This window comes from Homo sapiens, chromosome 4, assembly GCF_000001405.40.
Source record: "Homo sapiens chromosome 4, GRCh38.p14 Primary Assembly".
Classification (NCBI taxonomy): domain Eukaryota; kingdom Metazoa; phylum Chordata; class Mammalia; order Primates; family Hominidae; genus Homo; species Homo sapiens.
The window spans coordinates 108,867,265-108,890,606 of NC_000004.12; the positions used below are offsets into that span (position 1 = coordinate 108,867,265).

Below are 23,342 nucleotides of genomic sequence, written 5' to 3' on the forward strand. Positions count from 1 at the left end.
CAGGCCGCCCTTTCTTTGTGTATCATGCCCATCTGCGAGGCTGACTTCTTTCCTGCCCTGGGTCCGAGGCTGCAAGCCTGAATAAATGCAACCGTTCTTGTATTAACAGGGAATGCTCATTATTTTCTTGCTCTCACTCTCTCTTTTTATTCCAGAAAGACATTTCTTGTGTGAATCTGCTCAGGCTAAAACAGGCATTCCTCATATTTTGTTAATAAGCCTGACAGCTCATTATGTGAAGAAATTTCTTGAGAAAACAATTTTGCATAATCTGATGGAGTTTCAGTCCCCCCTAGGACACACATAGTTTCCATTTACTAGGTTTAGAGTTATTTTCACTTGACCAGCAGAAATGAGGGCCCTTCTGTCAGAACAGACCATGAACATATTTCTGTAACTCTTGGAAATCATCCCTGGCTTATTTCTGTTGAATGCAGTACACATTGAGGCAAAGCCTGCTATGGTTTAAAAATAAAAGAATGTAGTTTGATGTAATTTTGCCCCTTCTTTGATTCATGAGTCTGTCATGAGTAAAGTTCCATCATCAGAGCTGTACTTTTTATGTCTTTCAGGGTAGATAAAAAGAGAACTCTGGGTCTGACTGTATTCATAGCAGCATATATATATATTTTTTTGCATGGCAGTATATATAGATTTTGCTTTTAGAGCCCTCCCTAGGTTTGCCAAGTAGAAGATCATGAGATGGTTTTCATTATAGAATATTTTTGCAGACGTTATTCAGAGTAGATCCTTTTGGGATGAGGCACTTAGGAATCTATATGACATCAGTACTTGCCTTTGAAATCTGGGGAGTAATGGGAATAGTAATAACCTTTGATTTACAAGTATATCCTGAAATTGGTGATGAGGAGCAGGAGTTAATGAGTTCTATCTCTCCTCCTCAGAATTTCTCTACTTTTCCATATGGCCAGGAAGCTAATAGCATCCCATCAATTTAGGAGCAATTTGGGGTACAAGTGGAACAACTGAAATATTTCACCATCCTGTTGTCTTGCCTAAGGCTTTCTAGATTAACTTTCCACTACTCAATATTGAACACAGTGGTGCCATTAGAAGTGTTAGTAATGGGTAGATTAAGCTGCTTTCATTCTCTATTAGGCAAAAATATATGGTCACCTAAATTACCAAGTTGTCCCACATTTCTTTCAACATAGTGGACTAAAAATATATGACAAAGATTTCAGAAAGAAGAAATCAAGCAAGAAGGAAGGAAGGAGGGAGGGAGGGAGAGAGAGAGGAAGAAAAGAAAGAAAGAAAAGAAAAAAGAAAGAAAGAAAGAGAAAGAGAGAGAGAAAGAAGGAAGGAAGGAAGAAAGAAAGAAAAAGAAAGAAAGAAAGAAAGAAGGGAAAAGGGAAGGAAGGGAAGGGAAAGAAGGAAAGGAAGGGGAAGGAAAGGGAAGGGAAGCGAAGGGAAGGAAGAAAGGAAGGAGGGAAGGAAGAAAGGAAGGGAGGAAGGAAGGAAGGAGGAAGAAAGTAAAAGGAAGGGAAGGGAAGGAAGAAAGGAAGGAAAGGAAGGAAGGAAAGAAGGAAGGAAAGGAAGGAAGGAATGAAGGAAGGAAGATAGGAAGGAAAGAAGGAAGGAAGAGAGAGAGAGAAAGAAGAAAGATGGAAGGAAAGAGAAAAAGAAAGAAAGAGAAAGAAAAGAAGGAAGGAAAGAAAGAAAAGAAAGAAAGAAAAAGGAAAGAAAGGAAAGGAAGAAAGACAATAAAAGAAAGAGAAAGGAAAGAAAAGGAAAGGAAAGAAGGAAGGAAGAAAAGAAAGAAAGAAAAAGAAAGAAAGAAGGAAAGAAAGAGGCCCACTTACTTTTGTTCCTGGTAAACCTGGTAAGCCTGGTTCTCCTTGAGGACCAATGAAACCTGGTTCTCCCTTTAAAAACATGGGCATATGAGATCATTAATCATTTGACAATAAATAAATAAATAAATAAATAAATAAATAAAAACTAAACTCATTTTCTTCTACTGAGATTTTACTTCCCTGGTTGTATACAGCTTTCTTGCCGAGATCCAGCTACTTGCCCTATGTACTTCTTCATTTGGCTGTTCATTTTTATTAACTGTAATAGTATATAGCACCTTCCTGATTTCTGTGAGTTGCTGTAGCAAATATCAATCCTGAGTCGGGGGGAGGGGATGTGCAAACCCCTGAATTTGTAGCTGAGTCAGACAGAAGTACAGGTAACCTGCGGGCTCAATACCTGTGCCTGGTGACCAAAATCAGGTCACTCTTATAAGACTGAGCCCTTAAATCTGTTTGATACCAACCAGGGGAGTTAGTGCCAGAATAGGATCGAATTGTAGGACACCCAGTTGGTGTCAGAGAATCAGAGAGGTAGAGAACTGGTGTTGGAAAATACACTACATATTTGGTGTTGGAAAATACTTGAGATGAGCGTTCACATTAGCTTGACTATCCATAAAGTTTTATTTTCTTTTTTTAACTATTTGAGGTCAAATATAAGAGTTTACCCAAAATCTATAAGAAAATTTTAAAGCAAAAGCCATAATGGCTTTGTTCTCAGTTCCTGTTTTTTCCCCTCTTGGATGATTTCTGGAGCAGTTGTTAATATTTTAAAATATATTTGATTTCTTTCTAAGGCAGTAGTATTTCAACCTTTGTTTCATGATACTTGCAACTGAGCAGCAATGTATAGAGAAAACGTTTTATAAGACATGATAAAATGTCAGGCTGGGTGCTGTGGCTCACACCTGTAATCCCAGTACTTTGGAAGGCTGAGGTGGGTGGATCACTTGAGTCCAGGAGTTTGAGACCAGCCTGGGCAACATAGGGAGACCCCCGTTCTGTACAAAAAATATGAAAAATTAGCCGGGTGTGATGGTGCGAGCCTGTCGTCCCAGCTACTTAGGAGACTGAGGCGGGAGGATCGTTTGAGCCCGGGAGGTTGAGGCTGCAGTGAGCCGTGATGGCGCCACTGCACTCCAACATGGTTGACAGAGCAAGACCCTGTCTCAAAGAAACAAAACAAAAAGACATACTAAAATGTCATCAAATATTTTTCACAGAAGTCAATTTTTTTAATATGCTATAAAAAACCTTGGGTATTGGGTGGGGAACAAAAGGATATCACCACCACCAGACATATATTGATATATAACTCAAATGTATTTATCTCTAGCCCTGGTGCTCATGAGACTGATCTAAGAAAAAAAAAAAAAAGGCAGGAGTGAGTAACTAATGCTTTAGGTTTACTGCTTGCACATTTTCTGTAACTCCCTAGTCTACCTGTCCCATACCCTTACGACTATTAGAAAGGAGAATCTGAAAATATAATTTTGGGTGGATCTCTTAATGGCCTAAAACGAAAATCTGAACTATATTCAGAGAAATCAATGGCGATTATTCTACTTCTAGTAAAAGAGTTTAACTTAAGTCAAACAAAAACATTATAAGGAATACATCTGTTTACATGTAAAATATTTCACCTAACAAAATGATATATACAAATAAATATTTCCTCTCCCTTCCCAAGAGAAATGCTGTGTTAAAGTCAATGTGTATCATTGGTAACAACTTACTGTCAGGGAAATGTAATGCAAGTTAATATGTTGAAAGTTTACACGGAAACCAGAATTCTTGTATATATTCAAGTGAAAATAAAATGATTTCATTCTTTAGAAAAACAAATAGATGCACCATTAAAGCATACTAATAAAAGAGAAGAAAAAAAGAGTAAATGTTGCAAAAACATATTTCTTATACATATTTCTTATACAGGTTAGTGTTTAGTTTATAAAAAGATGAACCATGCAGGTGCATAATTCACAAACAAATAAATAGGGCTTTGCGATCTCAGCTGCCAGGTAAAACTGTTTTTTTCTTCCTTTTTAAAAAATAGAAGATATGTTGTTTCCTTTAGTAAGTGTATGGAAAGTTCTTTTTTTTATGTGCTAGCTGAAAGCATCGATAGTTCTTTGAAACAGAAAATTCAGGGGAAAATTTATTTCTAGATACAAAATTAGCACTGCATTTGACAATCTCAATGATTTTAGCACAATTAATATTGATTGGCTAATTTTATTTATTTATTTTTTTGAGACGGAGTCTCAGTCGCCCAGGCTGGAGTGCAGTGGCACAATCTCGGCTCACTGCAAGCTCCGCCTCCCGGGTTCACGCCATTTTCCTGCCTCAGCCTCCCGAGTAGCTGGGACTACAGGCGCCCGCCACTACGCCCGGCTAATTTTTTTGCATTTTTAGTAGAGACAGGGTTTCACCGTGTTAGCCAGGATGGTCTCGATCTCCTGACCTCGTGATCCGCCCGTCTCGGCCTCCCAAAGTGCTGGGATTACAGGCGTGAGCCACCGCACCGGGCCTGATTGGCTAATTTTAAAGGCTTTGAGCATGATACATTATACCTGATTATGCCACTTTAAGAAAGTATCTACCGTATCTATACATTCTGATACACTTCTTATTTCGATTTATTCAAGGAGAAAAACCACATACTTAATTTTAGGATCACAGTTTTCGTCTATTTACTTCCAGAGGTCTGAATCACTTTAGAAACATTATCTCCATTCTCTCTATATCTTGGCAGGATGGGCAGGAGTTAATTATTGTTCCCTTTTTTCTCTCTCAGACTTCAAAAACAATTGTTGAAGTAAATAAGGCATGGATATGTTGACTCATGGTGTTCAGCTAGTTGGGCTATTTCTTACTTCCCTAAGCTTATACCAGAGGTTCTCAAAGTGTGCTCTGGGGACCTCTGGAGATTTCTGGACTTTTTCAGGAAGTCTTTAAGGTCAAACTATTTTTACAATAACACGAAGACATTATTTGCCTTTTTACTTTCATCCCTTCATGAATACACGGAGTATGAAAAGTTCAATAGGCCAGGCGTGGTGGCTCATGTTTTGTAATCCCAGCACTTTGGGAGGCCAAGGAGGATGGATTACTTGAGGTCAGGAGTTTGAGACCAGCCTGGCCAACATGGTGAAAACCCATCTCTATTAAAAATACAAAAACTAGCCGGGAATGGTGGCATGCACCTGTAACTCCAGCTACTTGGGAGGCTGAGGCAGGAGAACCACTTGAACCTGGGAGGCAGAGGTTACAGTGAGCTAAGATTGCGCCACTGCACTCCAGCTCAGGCAACAGAGGGAGACTCTGTTTCAAACAAACAAACCAAAAAGAAAGGTTTATTATATGGTTCCAGATTCCACGTTGCACCTAACCTTTAAGAAACTACCACTTGTGGGGTTTAGGATAGTAGCTAAGAAAAATATCAACAATTATCTGAATAGGCTAACCTTCCCCTGTCCAATTACATATCTGCATGAGGCCAGTTTTTCTTCATATACTTCAACGAAAACAACAAACTGAATGCAGAAGCAGATATGAGAATCCAGTTGCCTTCTATTAAGTCAGGCATTAGATTTGATATATATATACACACACACACACACATATACATATATACACACACACATACATATACATATATACACACACATATATCTCTCAAAATGTCATTCTTCCTGCTCTTTTTAAAAAATCTTGTCTTAAAAACCAGTTATATTTCATAAAACATACTATTTGATTAACATGTAATTGATTTTTAGAAATTTTTCAGTTTTAACTTCTTTTTTTTTTCTTTTGTTTTTGTTTTTGAGACAGGGTCTCACTCTGTGCCCAGGCTGAAGTTCAGTGGTATGATCATGGCTCACTGCAGGCTTGATCCCCTGGGCTCAAAGGATCGTCCCACCTCAGCTTCCTGAGTAGCTTGGACTATAGTTGTGCATCACCACGCCTGGCTAATTTTTAAATATTTTGTAGAGACTAGGTCTTGCTATGTTGCCCAGGCTGGTCTCGAACTCCTGGCCTCAAGCAATCCTCCTGCCTTTGCCTCCCAAAGCACTGGGATTACAGGTGTGAGCCACTCCCCCCAGGCAGCTTTAATTTCCAATGCAGAAATAACACAAGACATATTCTACATAAACAAAAGCTCTTTCAATTCTAATTTTTAAGAATGTAAAGGGATTCTGAGACCAAAAAGTTCAAGAACTGCTAGAACAAAAATGCAGAATTTTATTAAAGGCTGACTTTTCAAGCTGGAGTCTTAATAGAGGATTCTGGCTTTGTTAAGGTGTGGCTTAGTTAAGACTTACCATACAAAACTGCAAGCAAAGCACTTAACCTCTCCCTAGAACTAAGTCAGTGTGCAATAAATGCTTGTTATTATTGTTTCCCTTATCTTACAGGCTTACAAATGTTAGCTGTCTAGTAGTAGTAGTAGTAGTAGTAGTAGTAGTAGTAGTAGCAGCAGTAGCAGCAGTAGCAGTAGTAGTAGTAGTAGTGTTACAACATCTCTGCAACCTAATTGGTAATATACAAAGTGTCTTCTTGTCACCTTTTAACCTGCCTAGGGTTATACTCAATACTACTTCAACTTCTTTCAAGAAGTAACCCTAAATTTTCTCAGTTGAATATGTCATTAATTTATGAGACAATATCCATCTGCCAGAGCAGTTGAGATTGCAAAACCAAAAGAGGTTTAAAACACATCAGAACGGTGTAAGATAGAAAAGTGATGAGTTTACTAAGAATGAGTTTTCTTCCTTCAAAGACGGAAAGAAGAAAATGTTCCTACTTATAAATTTCCCTAAATGAATGTAATCTTAAAAAAAAAACCCATCTTTTTGAAAAGAATTGATGTACGGTTTAAAGGTTCTAGAATCTCCTAAAATGTCTAGGCAAAAGGCAATGACAGCCTAAGTTTATAGAAATATTTTCTTGTAATAAAAACATAAGCAAATGACTACTATACTATAGTCCCAATTAGTCACAATTTCTGTTAACCAGGGTAGAGGAAAGAGACCAGGTCGGGGAAGAAGGCGGGAGGAAGCAGCTGAAGTACGATTCAAAGGCAAAGGACTTTTGGGAAATCATCTTTGGAGTCAATCAGACTTCATAAAAATGAGCTTACATAAGTTTTCATGGCAACAAACAGGAGAAATAACTGTTTATATTGGAATGTATAATGATTATCACAGCTGTTTTACATATTTAATCTCCCTTAATGAATGGGACATAGGAGAGTAGTAAATTGAAAATTATCCACACGTATTTGTCTGAGTAGACAAAGTGACGGAGGAAACTGGAACTATAATGGAGTTAAGTACTTAACATTACTTTTAATGAAGGAAAAAAATAAATCCAGAGGGTTTTTTTTATTTTTCTTTTTTACTGGGCAATTACCTAAATTACAAAATCTAAATCATAATTTCAAAATGAGCCATTTTAGAAATAACATGGGAACATAAAGCAGAGATCCTTTGAAAAGGGCATGTCCTGCTCCCATTATCAGGGAAATGTGGTTTTAAACAGGCAGACTGCAAGTAAAATAGCTCTACCATTGAAGTAAAAACAATAAAGTAGGACATTTTCTGAAAGTGTTTATCTTTAAAGTTAATGTTCTGTTAGTGCATTTTAAAGAAAATAACAAAAATGTCTAAGAAAAATGAGGGAAAGACAAAGACTTAAACCTCTGGCTTGTTGCATATATCAGGACACCAATGAATAGCATAAGAATAAGTTGGGTAGAGCACCAATTATTTCAGAGTTACTTTAATCCGTTTTTTTTCCCCTCAGGTATTATACATATTTCTTCTCTCATTTCACAGATATTCCACATTCTCCATCTCTCCATCTGTTCACTCACTATCTCAAGTTAGATAGCATGTTAGGTTTTTACTTTTGTTATCAGTGAGAACAACAAGATGACAAAGTCAATTGGGATTCCTCACATTGGTGCTGAGGATAGATAGTGTGTGGAAGGGAATGAATGAAGGCAACCAAGAGACAGATCTGAGATCACTGCTGCTTGCAAAGTTAGTGCCTAACTCATGGGCAAGGACTTCATGACTAAAACACCAAAAGCAATGGCAACAAAAGCCAAAATGGACAAATGGGATCTAATTAAACTAAAGAGCTTCTGCACGGCAAAAGAAACTACCACCAGAGTGAACAGGCAACCTACAGAATGGGAGAAAATTTTTGCAATCCACTCATCTGACAAAGGGCTAATATGCAGAATCTACAAAGAACTCAAACAAATTTACAAGAAAAAAACAAATAACCCCATCAAAAAGTGGGCAAAGGACATGAACAGACACTTCTCAAAAGAAGACATTTATGCAGCCAACAGACACATGAAAAAATGTTCATCATCACTGGTCATTAGAGAAATGAAAATCAAAACCACAATGAGATACCATCTCATGCTAGTTAGAATGGCAATCATTAAAAAGTCAGGAAACAGCACATGCTGGAGAGGATGTGGAGAAATAGGAATGCTTTTACACTGTTGGTGGGACTGTAAATTGGTTCAACCATTGTGGAAGACAGTGTGGCGACTCCTCAAGGATCTAGAACTAGAATTACCATTTGACACAGCAATCTCATTACTGGGTATATACCCAAAAGATTATAAATCATGCTACTATAAAGGCACATGCACACATATGTTTATTGTGGCACTATTCACAATAGCAAAGACTTGGAACCAACCCAAATGTCCATCAATGAGAGACTGGATTAAGAAAATGTGGCACATATACACCATGGAATACTATGCCGCCATAAAAAAGGATGAGTTCATGTCCTTTGCAAGGACATAGATAAAGCTGGAAACCATCATTCTCAGCAAACTATCATAAGGACAGAAAACCAAACACCGCACATTCTCACTCATAGGTGGGAAATGAACAATGAGATCACTTGGACACAGGGCGGGGAACACCACACACCGGGGCCTGTCAGCGGGTGGAGGGCTGGGGGAGGGATAGCGTTAGGAGAAATACCTAATGTAAATGATAAGTTGATGGGTGCAGCAAACCAACATGGACATGTATACCTATGTATCAAACCTGCAGGGTATGCACATGTACCCTAGAACTTAAAGTATAAAAAAAAAAAAAGTTAGTGCCTAACTAAGGTGAGAGAGAATAGTAAAAAGAAGGAAGAAAAGGATGAGGAGAAGGAGTAGTGAGGAATTCAGGGAGGGAGGGAAGGAGAGGGAGAGAGGAAGACAAGAGGAGAGAGAAATAATAGAGAGGAACAGGCATTTAAAAATGTTCTCCTCCTTTCCACATTACCGTAAAAATTAAATCCAGATTTAATCTGTTCTCTTTGTTTTTGTTGTTTTCTGTTGTTCTGTTTTGTTTTTATGTGTCCTGGAAATCTCCAACTAGATCTACTCTTGGGACAAACAGAATAATCTAAACAATGTATTATCTAACCCTTAAAATCAGTACAGAACTATGATTTAATCAAAACCTGGGGATAAAATATATATAACATTATTTATCAGAACCCTTAAGACAATCCAAAATTTTAATTACTAATACATAGTAGCTGGCATCCTGTTCTGTTCCCCAAGCCACATGCTAACCAGTGACTGAATAGGTTGTCCACAATACAGATATCTCAGCCCTGTTGGTGTTATTATAGCATAGGACTAATGCAGCTTCAAATTCCAAAATGAAGACAAATTTGGTCTAATTTTCTGGTCTTCTCCTGGATATTGCATCTGATTTCTTCCTGAATTGTTTCATGAGTTTTATCCTTTGGTTATTCTTAACATTAATTAATAGCTCACCATCAATGAGTTAAAAAACCAGGTCTCAAAACTAAGACTACAGCACATTTCCCTTTGTTGACCTGGTAGAAAAGATGAATAATAGAATAGCTGTGATTTTGGCAACTAACCTGGGGTTCAGTTAGGAAAGAAGAAATGCTATTAATTCAGGATAAAGCACAGTGTAGGCCTGACAGTAAACTGCTGGGAGCAGCCGCAAGCTGAAAATCTGACACAGGCTGCTAATTTGAACAAAAGATTTAAACAGCCAGGGCGCATTCAGATACAGAAGCAAGTCTGTGGAGAATAACTATAGCTGAAATCAGAGGTGTATCTTCACATGACCAACTACGGAGGGCCTCATCATCTCACACTGATCTTTCCATTTAGGCAGTCATAACTTCAATCTTGTAGTATAAGCTCAGTGACTATCAGCTACAGTACCTAATGTGCACTATATTTGAAACAGGATCCTGTTTCTGCATGAAACAAAAAGTTCCATTGTCAATTAGTGTATGAGCATTAAACCTCTCTCTCTCTCCTTTCCTCTTGTGTCCATAAACTGGCTATATGTACACACAGAAATGATGTAAACTACAGAAGATTTAGCTATAGGAAAGTGGGTCCTATTCATTCTATATAAGATAGATACCTTTAAGGTAAGATTTTTGACTGAAGCCACTTCTCCTCAACTCCTTTGCTATTACTTTTAAAAAATTCAAATAGTCTACTGAGATAGCAGCTTAAATACTGTCTTCTGGCCAAAAAACAAAAAACTAACAAATAAAAAAAAAAACAACACATGAACAACTACCATCTCTAGAAGCCACAAGGGAAACAAACAAAAACTGGTCTTCTATTTTACAGAAAGGCAAGGCAAAGCTGGAAAATTCCTTAGGAACATGACATTTCTGAAATCTAACAATGACCATCAAAGGTCTCATTAAGTCTTAGAATTCAATAATAAAATCTTGACTGACTTTTCTTCAAACACATATGTAATACATAGCAAGAAAGTATTTCAGGTGACCTTATTTTATCTTCTAAAATGGTTATTGGGACAGTTCACCTAACACTCTTTTGCCAATTTACATAATGATGAGAAGAATCAACAAATACTTAGATGGGATTACTAGTCAATGTAAGAAAGGAGGAGACAGCTTCATTCATACAGAAATGACTCATCAGGTGTTTCTCTATAAACTTGCAGAATTTACCGTCTGCTAAATGGAATGGTGGCCGGAATGTCCTGACTGATTAGCTGTTGCCCATAGAAAAATCTCTGGTTTTTTCATTTTACCATTTGTTTTATTTTTATAAGTCATTATCAATTAAAGGAGTAAAAAAATTACTTTTTAACCCCTCTAAAAAAACCTCTAGTATACCAGGTTAAAGCAGGTAATATTTTCCATGATATTTATTACCCCCGAGAAGATCCAGTTTTCATTGCCCAATAAATAGTACAGCAGGGCTTAAAAAATATGTGCTGATCTGCCTGGGTGCCAAAAGCATCACCAATAATCTTGATTAACGTGTCTTGACACTGAATGCATTAGCCACATAATATTCCTCTTGCTTAAAGGCTAATTAGAATTCAAGGCAGCATGATACCTGCTTTTGAGGATTACAGTAAGAACATTTGTTGTAATAAGAACCACCAGGCAGCCAGTTTTGGTAATGATTGATACGTAAAATTATTGAGGGGAAAAAAGAATGAGAAAGTAGAGTCTGCCCCCAAAACATTTATTTCCCGTAAGGATCAAATTTTAGTGTAAATTAAAACATCTTGGTGGCACTGATGAAAATGAACTATAATAGCAGGTTTATTTAAAATCCAGAAAACATACCTTTCTGACTTTTTTTTTCTTAACTGGCTTACATCATGAAAGCATATTCCTTGTATTTATTGGAGGTTTCATTCTTGCAGCTAAAAATCTCTGATTTCTGGTTATGTGAGTTTCCTAATTTGACTCTCCAATTATTCAACTTCTCAGATGAACTTTGTGCAGACAGGAAATAATTATAAGTAACGATAACACAATGTTATTCGTTTAACCGGTACTCCATTTCCTTTTTCTCTTTTAGGAATTCATTTCACATCCTATGTTGCTTCAGAAGTTTTTCTCTGCTATTTTTAAAATGTGATCTGATGTTTGTGAGGAAGGAACCTCATCTCTGGTGGATTTAGAAGATAAGCTTCTATTAGATTACTGAGCACTGTACTTAATCCTAGGAATGCCAGAGTAAATGCTTCTGCCACCTGTAAAAGCTAGTCTTTATATAATTTAGTGGCAAGAATGATTTCATATGCTGGGATATAAAGAGTTAGTTACTGTCTCATACCCTCCTAGTCCCCAAGTTCTTGATCTTAATGTCAAATTTTCACTAATGTGGAAGCCAGAACAAAAATATCAAGCTTTGAAGCATGATACTACTGTGAAAATGTATTTGCCACTAAAATGATTTCATATGTTTTTTACTGTATTACACCTCCCTTGCTCCATGTTTTTTTTTCCCCCAATTTGCTTTCTGAATATGGTGAAATAAACTGATGGTATATGGGTTTTTTTTGTTGTTGTTCTTCTTGAGATGGAGTCTCACTCTGTTGCCCAGGCAGGAATGCAGTGGCATGATCCCGGCTCACTGCAGCCTCCACCTCCCAGGTTCAAGTGATTCTCCTGCCTCAGCCTCCTAAGTAACTGGGACTACAGGCATGCGCCACCACACTCGGGTATTTTTGTATTTTTAGTAGAGATGTGGTTTCACCATGTTGGCCAGGCTGGTCTCGAACTCCTGACCTCAAGTGATCCACCCGCCTCGGCCTCCCAAAGTGCTGGGATTACAGGCGTGAGCCACCGTGCCCGGCCTGGTGGTACATGTTGAAAGAAGGAAAAGCAAGTGCTGAAAATCTATATTTATTTATTTATTTTTATTTATTTATTTTTTTGAGATGGAGTCTTGCTCCATCGCCCAGGCTGGAGCGCAGTGGCATGATCTTGGCTCACTGCAACCTGTGCCTCCCAGGTTCAAGCAATTCTCTTGTCTCAGCCTCCCCACTAGCTGGGACTACAACTGCCTGCCACCACGCCCAGCTAATTTTTGTATTTTTAGTAGAGATGGGGTTTCACCTTGTTGGTCAGGCTGGTCTCAAACTCCTGACCTCAGGTGATCCACCCGCCTTGGCCTCCCAAAGTGCTGGGATTACAGGTTTGAGCCATTGCACCTGGCCTAAAAATCTATATTTATGAAAAATGTCTTGGGTTAGGTAACATTGACTGGAGCCTGGAGAATTTCCATCATTACATGTCAAGGTTTGCTTTTACTTTTCCTGTGAACAGAACCAGGAAGAAGAACATTGACAGTGCCATGTCCTATCCCCATAACACTGTGGTTCTTCATCCTTTGTTCCTGGGATACATTTGGGTAATAGGAAAAGGGTATAGTGTGATGTCATGTTTGGAGAAAAAGCAGGTGATCCTGACTGCTCTTAAAGTAACATCCACTCATCGCTGCAAAGGAGTTTTCAGAATTTATATTTACTAACCTACAGAGTATACATGGCTTTACATCCTATAGGTTAAAATTACATGAGGAAAAATTGTATAGAACATGTGTGTAACCAATGTTTCCAATATTTTGAGCTGCCCCAAAAGAAAGAGATAACAATAATCAAAACCGACACAGCATTTACTACATGCTTGGCAATATTTTAGGAACTTTACATGTATTAGTGCATTTAATTTTCACAACAGCTCTCTGAGTTATGGTCAATGAGTCCCATCTTATGAGGAAACTGAAGTACAGACAGATGATAGAAGTTGCCCCACATTATGTTATTGATAAGGGGCGGACAAGGATCTGCACATTGGTGGTCTGTTATGAAGTCTGCTCTATCCTGCTTACTGCTAGGGCAACATAACCATAGAAAGGGGGTAAGTAATGTATTTACATTTTTCAAAATAAGTGTAGAGAGCAAAGCCTAAGAAAATAGGAACTTAGAATCTTACTCTTTTATGTGATATCAGAAAAGCTGGTTACAATAATTTTACCCATTAAAAATATGTGAAAGCTTGTTTCAGAAACTAATTTTCTGGGCTCAAATCTTATTCCAGAAGATCAATGTCTACATGGTACATTGTACATAATTTAATTTTCCCAGTTGAACATCGTGACACTATATGAACCATGAATGCACGAAATAGGAATTCCAAATGTCTTCCATATGGTAAGAGGACTTTTGGATACTTCTGCAGGAAGCTTAAGAGTAGCTCGAAATTAAGTTATGCCTGTTCTCAGTGACTTTTATTATGTATGCCTAAGGTATTAGCACTTTTCTCTGAGTGGGACCTTGAGGTGATAGATAGATGAGTCTGCTGTCTGTATTTAGGCACTTGGCTCATTTCCTGAGAGCTGTGGAAGGCATGTGGATGCTCATTAAGTTTCCAACCATTCCCCGAGAGCAACAGCTGGTGAATCAAAGCTTCCCTGGTATGTCATGACTGGTTTCCTCAAAGTCTTGGAAATAATGGATGGCATTCACATGCTCTCTGTAGCACCAACAGATAAGAAGGAGATGAATAGCAACAGGAAGCATTTCCAAAGCATAAAGAAACACACAGGTCTAGGAAGATTATGAGTAATGCGCTTGCTACCACACATTCTATATCCATATATGGTGGTTTCATCTTTTAAATACTGCTACTCGTTCAAACTATGAAATCATAGTTAACTGTCCTGTGGTGGCTACCTAATAGAAGAAATGTAAATTAAAGGAAAAAAGAACATTCTAAGTTAAGAAAACTATGTCATAAAATTTAAGCCTTTAGCTCTACATTTATAAATATCCAATGACCACTAATAGTTGTGACGTATCTTTAAATTGTCTCCTTTTCAAAATTACTAATTTATAGTGAGCACTGACTACATTATAAGGAAAGTGTATCTCCCACATCCTGATTAGAGAAGACAAAGCTTATTAAACCAAAAATAGAGCCTAAGATTTAAATCAAATACCAGATAGTTACCCAACAGTACTTGATAATTATGTAGAAGAGTATGTCTACATACTCTTGATGAAAAGAGTTTTTGTCAATTAATAGCTTCTTTTCACTATAGTCAGCAGTCAAGGAGAGAAAAACAAAAGAAAATATCAGAGCTACCTGACCTCGACAAACTCCATCTGGCCATTTCCTAAGACCTGAGGAATAAAAGCATTTGCTAGAGGTGGCAAATCGTTTAACATCCCTCCCAACTTCAAAAAGCTCAAAACATTCTGACTAGTCCACAGATGACTAGGCAAATTCCGAGGGTCCAGTGGGATATTTTTGTGATGGAGGATATAAGACTAAAGTAAGATGATAAATAGTATAATCAAAATTGCTTTTTTTTTTTTTGCCTTTGGAGGGAGATAATCAATTCCACATTCTCAAGTACTCTCTCTCTCCAAGAAAGTGCTTCAAGTTCAGGAGAAGGGACAACTAGATTTCAAAGCACGGAGGTTCCTGCAAGAGAAGCTGGTACCCCGATAACCTACAAGCACTTACTGCAGCAACCTGCTTCAGCCCTTCCTTTTAAATGCCTTCCCCTTTATTTATAATGCTACAAGGTTATTTTTGATTAATGCTGAGTATCACTTTCTTATCACTTTAAATAAATAGTTTTTAAATTTTTATGATCTTCCCATTATTTGTAAAAAGCCATCTTTGTGTGTGTGTGTGTTACTAAGAAATGCCATAATTTAACTCTATAATATGAAACCACCTATTAATTTGTGAAGTTATTTTTGCTAAATATCAAATGATAAGGAAGTGACTTCAACTGTTTAGTAAACTGTTGTCATAGAGTGTTACTTTTTCACCAAAGAAGCCAAAGACTAAAAATCTATTAAAAGGACATATCTGAACTTTTATGATACTAATCTAGAAACATCAAACAAAAAGATAGAACTAAAATTGCTGAATGCCAACCAAGAAGACATAGCTTTCATGTCTATCAATTGTACCAAATATACTCATAAAATATTATACATATTATATGACCTCTGAGAACTCAATAATATATCTATCCTAAAAATCATATTATTTCACATAACTCACACTCCAAGCAGAACCTTCATAAAACAGTATACACAACTCTCAAACTAGAAGTAGGAATGTTAACTTTATTTATTTTTCTTTTTTAGAGACGGAATAGCACTCTGTTGCCCAGCCTGGAGTATAGTGGCGTGATCTCGGCTCACTGCAAGCTCCACCTCCCGGGTTCAAGAGAGCCTCCTGCCTCAGCCTCCTGAGCAGCTGAGATCACACTCAGATAATTTTTTTTGTATTTTTCATAGATACAGGGTTTTACCATGTTGGCCAGGCTGGTTTCGAACTCCTGACCCAAATAATCCGCCCGCTTCAGCCTCCCAAAGTGTTAGGATTACATGAGCCACCGTGCCCGGCCTAGAAATACTAAGTTTAGAATGGACTAATGTACAACAGAGATTGATTCAAAACTTTGTAAGATGAGAACAACAAAAGAAAATGTATTTGCATTATGTTAACCCCTATTAAGTAGTTCTAGAATATATAAAAAAACTTTTAAAATAAGAAGCTGATTTTAAAGGAGCAACTACAGCTAAGGCAGTAGAACTTTAAGTCTTGTCAGTTGCCATGCAAAAAATTTCAAAACATTTTTTAAAATGTTTTTAACATTTTTAAGTGGTTTACATCCATTTAAAACAAATGTTTTCAAACTAAGCTTTAAGCAATTATTTCAAAAGATATTTAGAAAGTTTATGGGGACAGTGTATGTGTTGGGTCAAAATATTTTAGTAATATGATTTGTACTTTGCAGTGATAATTACTGAGAGGAAGTAGAAGATAAATGTTTTAGAGAGATTATTATAATGAGTGAATCACAAAAACAGCTGCCTAAATGTTAGCTTTATGGGGATGTTAAGACTCTAATTCTGATCAAAATCTGATAGGGTCTTAAGAATAAAACTAAAATATGAAGGTAAAGAGACATTTTAGACTTTAAAGAATTCCTGTGACTTCAAATGAAGGGACATTTACATTTATTTAAGGGGCAGTAGTAAGTTAAATGGAGAAATAAACAATCCATATTGCCATGGCAAACTTTAGAGGTATCTGTGCTTAATTTTTAATTTAAAAATTTAGTTAGTTGAGATGGCTGGAGAGTACTTAGAGAACAGCATTCTATTTTTAGTTTCCATTTTTCCCTATTTTCCTCCAATTTGGGTGAATCTCATAATTACAGTTCTGTGAAGCCGAGACTGTCCGTGCAGTATTTACCTTTATCCCCGGAAGTCCAGGAAGCCCAGGAAGCCCTGGTTCACCCTACACAGGAAAATCATATAGCATTATAGAATGATATTCACTCAGTCACAATATGTGGAGAAAAACATGGCAAATGTTCCTGGCTCAATACTTTCTGCAAAGATAAATAAAAAAACCGTCTACTTTCAAAAACTTTGATGAGATTATGCAATTCAGTCAACTCTTGATTTAGAAATGGGTTGACCTCTTCACAGATTTTTTGGGATTTTCTCTCTTCCTTTCAGTTCACTGCACATTGGTATCTCCGTCAGATGGCGAGAAAGAGGAGTCAAAAGAGAAGAAACTCCCATATTTCATTATTTCTTCCTTAAATGATTCGGTGGGGAGGCTGAATCTATTTGCCCAAATGAAGATAATGTGTGCATTTCAACAATGCATCCTATCCCAGTATTCCCTCACCTTAGATAATCAAGAGTTGGCTGTATGAACAGATGGTCACATCAAAACAATATTCATTAAAAGTCTTGCTCACTTAAAAAGTATAGTAAGCTTTCCTTTTCATTCCTGAATGATGAGAAGATAAATGAATACTTAAGATTAAACCTAACTCCAGTCTGTACTTCTGACAATTGTTGAGTCTGAGCAACCCTGCTTAGCAGCTTAGGGCTAATGGTACTATGCAGCTGTTGCTGAATACAGGTTTGAGATTAAGTAGTACATTTTGGGTGAGCATATTGGAGTCAAGCTTAACCTTCTCATTTTCACAGAGTTGTCTACATTATTTTAAGCCCAAAGAATGATAATAAGAGGTTCCATTGCTTAGAAAATCTCCTGAATTCTACTAAAGAAGTATAAAGGAATCTCAGGAGAAAATGAAAGTCCTCTCTGTTGGATTGAAGTGATTATTTTTTGTGGAAATAACATTTGAAGGCAAAAGGGTGATACTACTTCGTGATGGCCAGTTAGTGGGATGACAACTATACTAAAAGACACAGGAGCATTAAACTAACAGTGAAGTGACAAAAGAAAGCATTTCCTTTCATCTAAATGCTTTAACAATCCTGGTTTCAAGGAACATCCACTAAGTTCAACCAGAAGTTTCATCTTTAGTAATATTACTTTCAAATTATGAAGCACCATAGTTTGTTCTGGTGTTATCACAAAGTGATGTCTGAGACTGCTTGTTAAGCTGTGTGATTAGACCAAAAAAGGACAATGGTTTTCTTGATGATTTAGGTCAAAGTTACTTCAGGAATGCAAAAGAAAAACGATTCTGTCTGAAACTATATAAATGAAGGTTTGCATTGTGAACAATAAGACTAAAATGAGACTAAGCCAGAGGAGAAAGGCTGATTATCAAGAACTTGTTATTCCATTCAAAGAATGTCCAAGTAGATTAAATTTCACACAGATATAACATTATATATTTGATCTTCTTTTACTTTCTCTTTTACCTTTCAATCAATGAGTTTAAGAGGATCCAGTAAAAAGAGCTTGTACATATTTTTTGCTGAAAATTCTCTTTTATGTTAAAAAAGTATAAGGCCCTTGAAAACAGTAAATTGCAATAGAATATACAATTAATAAAAGTAAACGTATTGATGGCAAATCTATAGCTTTGTATTCTTTCAGAAAAGTCCCCCCAAACTCATTTTTGCAGACATTCTATCTGAAACATTTGTGGAAGTATGTAGGTTGTAACATTATTGTCCAACGGGTGTTCTCGTCACCTCTTTTCCTCCCACCAAATGAAAGGATTGAATGATTACTTTAAAGAAAGATATTTATTTAAACACGCATGCATACATAGACACACACCCATGTTTTTAATCAAGAAAAAGATGTGTAAGACATTATGGAATATTTTATAATGTAGATTGACTACTTACAGAGATTGAGCATTTAACTTTTCTCTACATCATATGTGTACTATGTATGTGTGTTAAGTAATAAATGTATTTTTTAGTGAACAGATACTTAGAAATTCATATTTCTCATAGTTTTCATATTTCATAATTTGACCTTTCAAGTTTATGTTTATTAGTTGATATGATGAAAGATTATAATACATGTAATGTTACCCTTTGTGGAACATCGCCTAACATTTTTAGAAAGACTTTTTTTTCCTATATAAATCCTCTGTCTTTATACCATAAAAGGTTATTTTCTAACTAGGACAACTGTGTCCAACCCACAGCCCACGGGCCACATGCAGCCCAGGATGGCTTTGAATATGGCCCAACACAAATTTATAAACTTTCTTAAAGTGCTATGAGATTTTGTGTGTGTGTGTGTGTGTGTGTGTGTGTGTGTGTGTGTGTGTGTGTGTGTTTAGCTCATCAGCTATTTTATGTGTGGCCCAAGACAGTTTTTCTTCCAATGTGCCCCAGGGAAGACAAAAGATTGGACATTCCTGAACTAAGTGATAGCTTTTCAGTTAACTTCTCCATTCTTCCCTATTCCTTGACTCAGGGGCTTCTCTCAAGAACTCAATTTGGGGATGCACAACCCAAAATCTGGGATCAGATCTTGGTCATAATTAGGATTTGATTCGTTATCCCATTCAAAGGGGGTATCAAAATAAATCAAAAGTGTAACATATCTGTATAAAGCTTAACCTTCAGGTTTAGACTTTTGCTTTTTTCCCCTTCTTTTCACCTTTCACCCTCCATTACAGGAGAACCTCAAAATCAGGACTCTGCCTTCACCTCATGTCCCTGCTAGAGTGCCCTAAATATTTCTAGAGAGTTTAACTGTGAGGGGCCCTTCTGATAGGAGATCAATTTTACTCCTCTAAAATTAAAATATTTATTTTTAAAAGATGTGGGAAAGTTAGGAAGGAAAGAATTAGGTGATGAAACACAATACTTATTTTATAAATCTACACACTCACTCTACAAGCACATATATACACTCCAACTCACACATCAATCACATACTAAACTCTCGAGGCTATAAAAGAAAGAAAATCCAATGGAATTATTCCTACATTATGAATATAACTCTAGATCTCAAACTCTCATGCTGAAAAAGACCACACGGTGGAAAGCTAACTGATGAGCTTTTTGCTGTGTCACAATATTCTGTACTTTTCTGGGAGTGTCTCTGACACAGGAGCCTAAGCGCCAATGAACCCCCAGCATGGTTCTGCAATGGAGAGGAAAATGCCGTGGAAGATCTCTTGAAGCGATTCTGTACTCAGTTCAGTTTATTTTTCTAATCTACATCAGCAGCAAGCATGGACATAATTTACTTTTAAATCAGTGTTGGGCTAAGTATTGCCAAGTCCCGATATTAGACAAAGGAAGTCATAATATTGTGGGAAAGTGGGATTGTATCAAAGGGTAGAATCTGGCCTAAATATTAATGAAAAAGATGATGCTCACTTTAGGGCACATACTCATTCAGGAGGACTGTAAGACTTTAAGGATTCTACCCCTTCTCTCAATATAGTTTAAAACTGGTTTTTAGTGCAATGCAAAGGAAATCCAGTGTTCCCATGAGTAAATCTATAAACTTCCAGAATGAATCTAAACTGTATTTATAAGTAATCATTATGATAAGGCAATGTTTTATTAAGTAATTGAAAATCTATTTGAATATTCCACTCTGAAAACAGTGTAAACTATACGAGATTATAGCAGGTTTGTTTTGGTTTATTTTTTAGAGACACAACTGTCTTACAGACTTTTTAGCAAAACACAGACTTGGAGAGCAGTAAAAACTTAGCCTTTAAATTTGAAAGACTAAGGGACCTAAAATTAGATTGTCTGAGAAGATCAGTTGCTTTTTCAAACCAAAGCAGACCATGGATCTCTGTATCACTAATTCCAAATTTCTTAAATAGAGAATTGATAGGAAATATTATAAAATAAATAGTAAATTTTGCAAAGTTCTGCTAGGCTCTTTGAAAGAGTCTCAACTTTACCTAAAACTGGGCCTAATGAGTCATTGCTTAGACTCTTAGTTTTGAGAGAAAAATCTGTTTTTAAATTAGAGAAATGTTAAAAGAATGTGAAAGACCTCCTCAAAAATTATGTCCATCCTAAGTGTTTAAAATGAAGCAATTATCCTCTCAATGACTTCAAGAAGTTGGAAACCTTATTTTACTACATCTTCAGGTTCCAAAATACAAGAAGGGATTTATTCTCTCTTCCCTTTTCTGCTAATAGGTAAATTTTATTTTTCTATTCATATGTTTATCTACAGCATCAGCTACTGCTAGACAAAGGCAGAGTCATGATCTTTAAGAGATTTAACCTAATATAGAATCCACATTTACTTGCTAGCTACATCTGTGGTCTAAAATCTGACTGTATGGGCATTGATATCCAAATGCTCAGACGATAAACTGCTAGCATGTGTTTCCTGTTTCAGACTCAAATGAGAGTATGAATCTAAACATATTCACTGCATGTCTTCTAACTTATTGCTAAAGTGACATACAAATAAAAAAACAAAAACTAATGTATCCATAAAATGGTATGGCTATAGTGCCTCTAATTAAAATTTAGTTCATTAACAAATTTAGTGTGTATAACAACAGTCATGGCACAAGTAGATATAAATCACATAAAAAATTATCAGTATGGAAGCATTTGCAATGATAGGAAAAGGAATATAATTCATAAAGAATTGTCCATCACTATTGAGACAGTTTAATGACAGTTAGAAACAGCAAAGCAACACAGCCAATTATAGACATTTTTTTCTATTAAAAAGTTATTTAAAAAAAGATAGAAACATGCAGATTACCATGAAGCATGCAGGATACATTGTTGGCATTCCAACCCACCTAATCTTTGTGAGTTTCAAACAGCTAAGTATATGCAGACTTTTATTTCACAAAGCATCTTTTACATATATAAAGTTTGTTTGCACATTGTGCTATGGTCATCATCAAGACCTTTTAAAATGCAAAACAACAATAACACTCTGTAATGCAAAACATGAAAACCGCATCATTTTGTAATAATTGTTTTCATATTACACAGTGGATGGTAGATATAAAATGGTGAATATGAGACAGTAGGAACACACTAGAGATAGAGATATTACCTTTTGCCCTGGACGACCAGATTCCCCAGGTTCTCCCTGGCCAAAGAAAACCAAAGATGAAAAACACAGTCTTAAAAGAATTTTCTAAAACACTTAGACCTCTGGGCACCATCACAGGGATGGCCTAGCCCCCTTCTTCAACCACATGTCTTTTATTTCCTTTATCCTGTGACTCTACATCTCACTAGACATACGGATTTTTTTTTTTTTTTTTTTTGCTGTAAATATAGCTATAGATCACATATAAATCACATTTCCATAAAAACCAATCAGAAAGGGAAGAGAATGCAAGACTTCTTATTTAAACCTTCATCACATTTCCCACAGATATTCCCTATTGTTTTTGGAAGCCCAGTTATTGTAGGAGAATAAGAACAGAGTTATAACCATCAAAGTTGCTAAAAAGGGAGAGAAAGTAGAGGCCTATAAAAATCAGAACTGTAACTCCTGGAGTACAAATACTTGCAAGGTTATAGTTACCTTAATTCCTGCAGCAGATGATCCAGGGTCACCCTAAAACGAAACCCAGGAGAGATTATCTCACAAGTTATGGGAATAGGAAACATCACAAGCACTCAGAGAGCCATCACCAACACAGGTACTCAAAGGGTATCTCATGACTAATGTGCCTAACTACGTTCCAGAAGACTTTGTACCAACATCTCAGCTGTTAAGATCTACGTTCCATAAGACTTTGTACCAATATCTCAGCTGTTAAGATGTCAACAATTTCCAAGATAAACAATGTACTTCCTAAAAACTGGGTTTACTTCACATGCAGATACATAAGGACTACATTCCGTGAAATAAACATGAATTTCTTCCCTTGATACAGTGCTAAAAATACATCGTGAAGCAATAAATTACAATTTAGGGGTATGGAACTTTTGGCTTTCTCTATTCCTGGAATTCATTAATGCCATCAGCTATCATTTACTGGGAGTTCCCTGACCCTTTTGCTCTTCAGCAAGTCAAGGTTCAACAGATGAAGTCAGAGGTTAATGATGTCGAGTTAGAAAAAGCCACGCAGCAGATCAGTTTGTTTTCCTCATGAAGCACTGTCACAGATACAATGGGCACGTTTTTTCCAGCTTTACACTTATTTCATTGTAACTCAGGCACCAGGAAGTTACAGGATGATGGATGACTTGTGGGTGAGGGGGACACATGTGAGCTCTGAGAGAAAGTCTTGAGAATCTGTTTTTTTATAAGGCACTGTGTTCCAGCCAGATTTCACAGAGGGTGAATACTTCTCTAAAGCAAATGTGTTATAAATAAGCAGATAGGAACTAATGGGGAAAATAATATGGAGGGTAGCTGGGAATGTTGCTTATTTCTGAAATGAAGTCAGCAAAGGGCCTAGAATTTCAAGTTCCTTCTAGCCCT

General features: G+C 36.7%; 1 protein-coding gene across 11 annotated transcripts in view; it reads right to left on the minus strand.

Annotated features, from left to right (window-relative positions):
* Positions 1-23,342, minus strand: part of COL25A1 (collagen type XXV alpha 1 chain) — a 493,934-nt gene that overhangs the window by 58,540 nt on the left and 412,052 nt on the right. For all 11 annotated transcript variants that reach the window (NR_045756.3, XM_011532335.3, XM_011532334.3 and 8 more), the window contains 4 exons: positions 22,437-22,469; positions 21,957-21,992; positions 16,914-16,958; positions 1,824-1,886 (listed from right to left, as the gene is read on the minus strand). Coding sequence is in view for 10 of the 11 variants with exons in the window: in XM_011532335.3 (XP_011530637.1) it covers positions 1,824-1,886; positions 16,914-16,958; positions 21,957-21,992; positions 22,437-22,469 (177 nt within the window). In the remaining variant the exon portion in view is untranslated. The remainder of the gene's footprint in view (positions 1-1,823; positions 1,887-16,913; positions 16,959-21,956; positions 21,993-22,436; positions 22,470-23,342) is intronic.